General features: G+C 33.4%; 1 long non-coding RNA gene across 3 annotated transcripts; it reads right to left on the reverse strand.

The window, feature by feature from the left end:
* Positions 1–452: 452 nt before the first annotated feature.
* Positions 453–8850, reverse strand: LINC02276 (long intergenic non-protein coding RNA 2276). 3 transcript variants are annotated; one of them, XR_939262.3, is made up of 4 exons: positions 8704–8850; positions 7707–7813; positions 1647–1697; positions 453–639 (listed from the first exon to the last, which is right to left on the reverse strand). It is a non-coding gene; the product is annotated as a long intergenic non-protein coding RNA 2276 (long non-coding RNA). The 3 variants fall into 3 exon arrangements; XR_939260.3 differs by lacking the exon at positions 8704–8850 and adding an exon at positions 8457–8601; XR_939261.3 differs by lacking the exons at positions 1647–1697; positions 8704–8850 and adding an exon at positions 8457–8601.
* Between the last annotated feature and the right edge of the window lie 251 nt (positions 8851–9101).

The raw sequence follows: 9101 nt of genomic DNA on the forward strand, positions 1-9101 counted from the left end.
CAAAAGTACAACTCTGCAGATATTAACTCAGCTTCCATGATTGCAGCTAAATCTTTAATGTGGCAAGTTACTGTGTCATTGGAAAGTGTCAGTGTCATGATTTACTTTACTAACTTTTCACCAGTAGGTATTAACAATGTCAACCATATAAGGCTTTATTAGTCTCTCAGCTATTGTATGTGCTTCTCTAGCCAATGCAGTATATAAGTTATTCTGTAAGATGCGTCATTGGCTTCTTCATTTTGAGTTGAAAAGCTGTAACAATTTTGAATTTTAAAATAGCTTATCACATCTACATTTAAACTGTCCAATTCTTTATATTAATAACCCCAAATGATTTGTCTCAAAATGATACCACAATGTAACTGGCAATATGATACTATTTGAAAACGTTCTGTTGAATAAGATACAGTAAGGTAAATCAGTAGTACATATAATCCCTAAGGGGAAGATAGCTTTTGTCAAATAATTTTTATTTCTTATTTATAGTATTATCCAATTTCTTTAGAGTAGATTCCTCCCTTCCATTAATCATAAAACTCTAAATCATCTTTTTCAGCGTCTTGAGAAATAGACATTGCAGCTGAAGCACAGGAAAGCACGTCTTTTGATTCCCCTTTTTCAGGCCAAGAATTCATCCTTAAATACAAGAAAAAATAGTATAAGTCAATTATACTTACTTTAGAATAATATTACTTAACTAAAATAATAGTATTAGGGAAATTTTTAAAAATTAGAAAAATTTTCAAACAATTAAAATATCAATACTAAACAAGAACACAATGTACACTTATTTTGTTTTGGGTTTCTATAGAAATATAAGGAAAATTTCAGGATTTCAAAATAATTATATTTTGGACAATAATGAAGTAAAAGATTATAAAAGATGTAAAAAAGATAACTAAAAAGGGCACATTAGAAATACTGAGATAAATATAAATTAATATCTCAAAATGCATATATATGCACACATTCTAAAGCTATTATCTTAGAGAATTCTACAAATTCCTGAATATAAAGTCACACATTCCATTAGTTAGTAGAAAAATAAAGTCACCACGTCATTTACCCTTTAAAAAACTCCACTGTACACTTATGAGAGAATGAGAGTAAAAAGATAAATAGACAGTAACATTTGGTATTAGTATGAAACTGCCGTTAATCTTCCAGATCTCCCAAAGGTCCATAGCAAACACTTTAAGAATCACTGATTTAGAATATCTATATTTTAAAGACCCCTAATTTGCTATTGACTCGCTCAGCCAATAACTTTACTACTCTTTCTTCTCTTTTATTTTCGTCTAACATATGAAAAGCCTTTACAAATATTTAAGAAAATAAATGAATAACACCCCCCAAAAGAACTGGCAAAGCATAAGAAGTGGCAATTAACATATGATGATATGCCAGTTGTCCTCAAAATATATGAAAAGATACACAACTTCACTAGTAATCAAAGAAATATAAGTTAAGATGAAAATACTTATTTCTTATAAAATATCTGAAAAAAAGTAAAACACTGATAAGATCAGGCATGACAAGGGTATGGGGGAATCTGTACCTTCTCAAATTAAATTAGAAAAGCAAATAAAAATTGGAACAGTTCGCATATTCTTAAATTTAATTCTGTAACTATAAATTGGTACCATCTTTCTGAAGAAAAACTTGGCAATGTCTTCCACTTCTGGGAATTTATCCTAATGAAGAAAGTGGATGAGAATTTAAAGATGAATGTATTGTGTTTTTATATGTATATATGTATATACAAATATATATTTGTATTTAACTGACATAGTTTCTATAATAGTAAAGAAATTCAGAACAACCAGAATATATATCAATAGGGATTGGTTATAGAAATTTTGGTGCCTCCACACAATGGAACACTATTCAGCCATTAAAGAGAATGAAAGAAATCTTTATCATTGCTAGAGATGGAAACCCAAGATACTTTAAGTAATTAAACATAAACAACATGCTATAAAAGTGTATAAATATTATGTTCCTATTTAAAAATTAATATAGATGTGAAAATTCATAGACAAGTGATATGCACCACAATGTTAAAGATTGTATTTACAGCTAGTGAAATTGCTGATGTTTTGCATTTAGTTTGTAAGGCAATATTTCTCAGTAGCTGTGTGTAAGGGAAAGCTTTTTTCCCCTCAGGGGACATATGGCAATACTGAGGACATTTTTGATTGTCACAATTGAGGAAGTGCTACTGGCTTCAGGCAGGGAAAATTCAGAGATGTGGCTAACCATTCTACAATTATCCATGACAAAATGTCAATAGTGCCAAGGTTTTAAGGTAATTCAGGTTAACTTTACAAATATCTCTGGGGCTGCTATAATGTGCAAGTCACAGGGAATACAGCAATAAACAAGAGATATAGTGGTTTTCCACAGGAATAATATTTGTAATGCTTAAATACTGTATTAGGACTCCTTTATAAATAAGTAAAAATCATAAAGTTATATTAATTTGGGGGTAAAAAGGGTGAGTCCTTTAAAAAGTATTCTACGTTTAATCTTTTAATTCCACTGAATGGAATTTTTTAATGTAATCACAAGAAATTTTCACAAAGATTCATGTGCACTTTCATTTTATGAATTATTAATTATAATAGTGGAAATTTGGAAATATGTGCAAAAGTAGTGGTGTGAAAAAATAAAACATGAACATTCAGCCGATGGACTATTATGCAGCTTTTAAAATTCACATTAAAAAATACTGATATGAGAAATGTTCATTGTATAAAGTTAAACACACCACAAATCTCTTAGTACTGCATGATCCTAATTATTAAAAACACACACAGGGAAAATACTAGCAGGAAATATGTCAAAAAGAGTTATGAGTGGCTCTCTCTATGGTGTATTATGGGCAATTTAAAATACTTTTCTTTACAGTCTCAGTACTTTCTAAATCAGCTAAAGTGAAAATATATTATTTTTATAATTAGGAAAAAAGACATACCATATTGATTACTATGTGTAGTGCCCTATATTCATATAGAAGAAAAAGGAGATACAATTTTTCTACCCTTGAGAAGCTTATATATAAAGTTGGAGAGATGAGTCGTACATTCATGGAAAGTTTATAATTAAGAAAAATAAATACAACAGTTAAAAGAAAAGATAGAAACAAAGTTATTTTGAATATCTGCTAGTCTGGCACTGTGCCAGATGCATTCACCAACATCACATTTCATGATGCCACCAGTCCTGTGAGGCTGGTAATGTTATCCCCATCACAGCAATGAGAAAACTGAAGCTCACTGAGATTAAGTAACTTGGCATAGGCCACCCACAGATATTAAGTGCTAGTGCAAGGATTCAACCCCAGGTCTGAGTCATTTTTATAAAAAATGATTGTTTCCACTTTGTGTGCTTTTCATTCTGGAGGTACAAGAAAAGATTACCATAATCATTAACCTAAGCGTTTCAATGGGAGCCATGAAAACTCACTCATTTTTCTCAAGAGATGTCGGTATAGGCACTAATCAAATAAGCTGACAAATATGTTTTAATTTATTCAAGAAATAGTTCAGTGGAAGTCTTGCGTGTTCAGTATGTTATGAGTACAAGATTTTTATATCTGAGACTCTTGTTTTAAAAGTCATAACATGAATCTCTGCATAGTCATCCATTGCTTCGGCAAAAGGGGAGTTCTTAAACACCCAAGGTGAAGCAGTGACGTGTGATTAATGGCTGCAAGCCGGATTACTTCTCAGATCGTCCTCCATATCTACTTGATATAACTTGGCAGAAAGTCAGAAAATAAATGTTTTAATAAATACTGCTTTCATTTGTAACAGATTTCTGCTTGAAAAGGAGTGGGCAGTCCTGTGTCCGTCCTCCCTTTCTTTTGTCTATATTACAGGGTCTTGGTCTCCATTTTCTCTGACATGGAAGTATTTATTCAAAATAATGGTTCTCACTTAGATAGGGGAGTTAGATCTATCACTCTTCCCCAAAAGCACCACTAAACCTAATTCTCTGTCTCTGTTAAACAAAATATCACCTTTGTCTGTTACTGAAAAATGTCTGCTGGTAGCTGAAGATTTAATTGTTTCTTCAAACCCCTCCATTACAAGAAATTTAGAATTTCTTCTGTTATTTAACTTAAATCTTTAACCATGCAAAAGGATTTGGGAGTAAAGAAGAGGGGGAAAAATGTGGGCTGTGTTTTATTTTTTAAAAGACATTAAATTTTTTTTCACTGTAACTTTTATACGTTAAAATACAAGTTTATGATCAGTAGTCTTATTATTTTAAGGACTATCTTCATTTCTCTTTTAATGTGATGTTAAATGACTTGGGAAGTAGAGAATTTCTTCACTACTAGAAACACTGAACTCTCACTTGGAATTTTGCCAACACATCTAGTATCTTGAAATTAAACATTAATTGATTTTCTTATTTTAGAATATTAATAATATCATCATTTGAACGTGTACCTTAAACACTGCAAAATCAGTATTTTTTCCCTCACTTTCTAAATGAGCACACTGAAGCTCAAACTTTAAATAAATTATTCTGATTCATATAGTGGTACTTATTTGACTTGAAATTCTAACCTAGTGTACCTGAATACAGCTTCCATGCTCTTCCATACACCATGCCCAGTTTTATGTCAAATACAACTGAAGCAAGTGAAAATATACTCAACATCACTAATCAGTAGGGAAATGCAATTTAAAACCACAATGAGACACCACTTTACACCCATTAGGATGACTATCATGAAACAAATAAAGAAATAAAATCCCAGAAAAACTGAAAACAGCCAGTGTTGGCAGAGATGTGGAACAGTTGGAACCCTTTTGCACTGCTAGTGGAAATATAAAATGGTGCAGCCTCTGTGGAAAAGAGTATGGCAATTCCTCAAAAAGTTAAACGTAGAATTACCATGTGATTCAGAAATTCTGCTTCTGGGTATATATTTAAAAGTATTAAAAGCAGGCATTCAAACAGGTACTTGTCCATTGGTGTTCATAGCAGTGTTAATCACAATAGCTAAAAGATGGAAACAATCCAAACGTCCATCAACAGATGAATGCATAAAGAAAATGTGCTATATACACACAGTGGAATACTATTCAGCCTTGAAAATCAACGGAAGTATGATACATACTACAACATGGATGAACACTGGAACATTATACTAAGTGAAATAAGTCAGACACAAAAGGACAAATATTATATGATTCCATTTACATGAGGTACTAAAGATAGGCAAATAAAATGATAAAATTTGGGTTTACAAGGCCATCTCTCTGACATATATTCAACATTGAGCTTTGGTATTGGCTGACAATAAAGTTGTATTCAAAATATGAGACCATTGGCTGGGCATAGTGGCTCATGCCTGTATTCCCAGCATTTTGGGCTGCTGGGGAGGGTGGAACACTTGGGTCTAGAAGTTCAAGACCAGCTTGGGCAACATAGTGAGACTGTCTCTACAAAATATACAGAAAAAACAGCCAGCCATGATGATGCATACCTGTAGTCCCAGCTATTTGGGAGGCTGAGGTGAGAGGATCATCTGAGCCTGGGAGCTCCAGGCTTCAGTGAGCTATGATTGCACCACTGCACTGCTGAGTGACAGTGAGACTCTGTCTCAAAAAAAAAAAAAAAAGAAGGACACCAAAATATGGAAGATAACAAGGAGTCTATGGAATGAGAATAAATGGACACATAGACAAGATAAAGCCATTAATATAACTTAATATCTCTAGTTACACATACTGCCAAAATTGGAAATATTATACAATTTAATTCAGATTAAACTTAGTAAGTTAGCTGAAAAAAGTTAGGTAAAACCACAGAGGATACAGACTTTAGTCAACAGAAACCAGGTGAAAGAAGTGAATATGAATGTGGATTTAAAGACCTTTACCTTATAGTGAATATAAAGAAGGACTAAACGTGTCCATTTAAGGTTCAAATTTTCACTCTGTATGTATATGGCCCTTGGGTTTGTTCCTGGGCTCTAACTCTTAGGTAATCACATCATTATCATGAATTGTCATCCTCACTTCCCCAGAAATGGTAAATTTGCTTCCCTTGATGAGTATTTTATCAATCACAGAAAAATTTAAATTCAATTCAGAGATCATGAAATATATGAACCCAACATCATTTATACTTTTAGTTAAAGGTCTGGAATAAACTTTTAAATTATAGGGACTGTTTAATATATGTGGTATTTAATGAATTTGTAATGTTTAATAAAATCTGGTATATTAGGCCAGGCACAGTGGCTCACACCTGTAATCCTGGCACTTTGGGAGGCCAAAGAGGGAGGATTGGTTAAGGCCAAGAGTTCCAGACCAACCTGGCGAACATAGCAAGACCTTGTCTCTCTAAAAAACATAAAGAATAAAAAAAGAATTTGGTATATAAAAGGATCTGAACATATAATAAAAACTGTCATGGGTTCTGGAATTGTGCTTTTAAGCTAAAAATATACCTGAAAATTTTACTAAGTTTGTGAAAACATGAAAATTTGAGATACGATCTATTTTAAAGTTTATGATATTTGCAAGACTATTTTAAATGCAAAACTGGATTTTTCTTGTTAGGGCTTTGAATTTGAGTTGTCAGAGAGTTTTTTAAATGCTTAAAAAAACAAACATATTAAATATCTAAGTATAGTCCCACATATTTTAGAAAGTGTAATTTACTAAATTTGTCAATGGGATTATTTAAAGTAATTTAGTCTATTCAACTTGAATTAATTGAACATTCACCAAAGAAAAAGAGAAAATAATTCTTGTTTATTAGTTTTTATAAATAGTAGAATAAGATTTGTTAGTTAAAAGCTTAAGAGAAGCTTGTTTCCTTTATAATTACAACTTTAATAAAGTTATATTAATTAAAAAATTAAGTAATTGGGCATAATCCTTTCAAAGCACAAAAGCTCCTTCAAGGCATTGTAATAGCTCACACTGATGACCTTGACATGAAAAGCTATATACTACAGCAAAGATCCTCAGCTCCAGTGGACATACCTTTGATTTGGGATATAGTAAATCATTCATAATAAAACTACTAGAGTATACAAATCATTTGCATTGAAGAGTGGAGTAGTTTTCAGGTTATTCCTATAATAATATCAACCTTCTTCCTTGCTTTACTGCATGCGTTCTTCAGTGGGAGTTATTTTTAAATTGCAAAGCACTGAGATATGTAGCAATCATATAGTAAGATCCCCTGCTTAGGAGCATCCTTAGGGAATGCTGACTGATTAGGAGAGTGAGAAGATTATGGAGTGGTAAAATAAAACAAAAGGTTCACCAGGATATCTCGTTATTTTTTATTTCTACTGTGGAATGACATTTCTTGCTAGAAATATTTGTGTAAATATTCCTTTGTTCCTGCATCTGCCCATAAAGGTTCCAGGGATTAGGACCTAATATATCAAATTTTAAGATATAAAGATTTTATATAAAAATTTTGATGATTTTGGTTGTGCATAAGTTAATAGAAGTCAGTTAGTGAACATAAACTGTCTCCACCTTTCCACCCTTGAGTATTAATCCTTTAAGAAGATTTTTCATAAAGATGGAATGAAGAGAAAGCACAGAATAGGCTTTGTGTGTAACCTGTAGGCAGTACTGTACTGGTGTGCTGTTATTAAAAAAAAAAAAAATCCCTGATCTGTAGCATTTACCTATTTCTCTGGTATGAATACTCACCATGGCCGATTTCAAGCTTTAAAATCAGCTCGCTAAGGGACAGCTCTAGCATAACACTGCCTCTAACTCTTCCATTTCTATTCCTTTGTTTTGGCAGCTGATCACGGCTGGAAATAAACCAACAAACAAACATGTAATCATGTTGAAATATTTTACTTTACAGCTCATAACCATGAATCACAAATGGGCCCTTTATCTGCCAGATCTTTCACTATTTTAGAAATAAAATATTACGTTGAAAATAAAATTTTCACTGTGTTGTACTTTCTTTCTCCTGAAACTCCAAATACTGCTTCATCCACCTTTACTCTCAGCTGATGGCCTTGCTCTCTGTTTCACTAAGAAAAATGAAGCAATCAGATGAGCTCTGCAGAATTCTTCCCCCAAGGGACACACCTGCAGACATCTGCACTCTCTTCTTCTACCTCCCTGTCTGCTCCTGCCTAAAGCCAATTTCTTCATTTGTGGGTCAGAATCCATTCTGTTTTACTCAAGGCATCACTGCTGTAATTCTCACTCGTCTCTAAACCATGTTTCTTGCTTTCTACTAGAGCAATGTCATCAGTTAAAATGTTACGATTGCTATCACTTTTTTAAAGCTTCTCTCAGCCCAACCTCTCCATGAGCTGCCGCACTTTCTCTGCTCATTTTTGGTAGAATAACTCTTGAAAGAGTTGTTTTTAACTTGTGTTTTTGATTCCTCTCCTGCCACTCTCAAGCACACTCCAGTCTGACTTTCCCCATAGTCACCATTCCAGCAAGAGCGTTCTTGTCAAAGTTGCGGTAGTGCCCCACTCATTCCCTTCAGATCTTAACCATCCACTGTGCTCCAGCTCAACTTGAAAAGTACGAGGATCAGTATCGCTGCCTGAGAGCTCTTTCCAGATTCTCAGAAAGTCACATTCATGCAAGGAAAGAGCTGTAAATATCACGGAATTAACACCGCCCACACCCTTCCCCAGCAGTGCCAACTAAATTCGTCAATATAAAATACCACCTCTCCCTTGCTCTTTGTGTGGAACAACTCTGAATTGTGTTTTATGCCATTTCTTAGAGTCTTGTAGGAATAAGCTCCAGTTGTCAACTATGGCTTAATGACATACACTTATGGGCTGCCTTCCTTATATCATTTTTTGAATCTACTATTGCTGTTCCTACACCTCTCAAACAAGCTCCTTCCTCTCAAATTCTTGTTTAGAATCTGCTGCTATGGGAACCAAAATGAACTCAGTTGCCACTGACCTCCACATCATTAAACCGAATGATCAATTAGTTTCCTTTTTATTGGAGCTTTCAGTAGATCTGACACGTAGTTCTCTCCCCTCTCCTGGAAACATTTTCTATTCTTGATTCTAGCTCAACACATCTGTAATTTTTTTTTTCCTGAATCACAGG

The sequence above is a fragment of the Homo sapiens genome, chromosome 4 (genome assembly GCF_000001405.40).
Source record: "Homo sapiens chromosome 4, GRCh38.p14 Primary Assembly".
In the NCBI taxonomy this organism is placed as follows: Eukaryota; Metazoa; Chordata; class Mammalia; order Primates; family Hominidae; genus Homo; species Homo sapiens.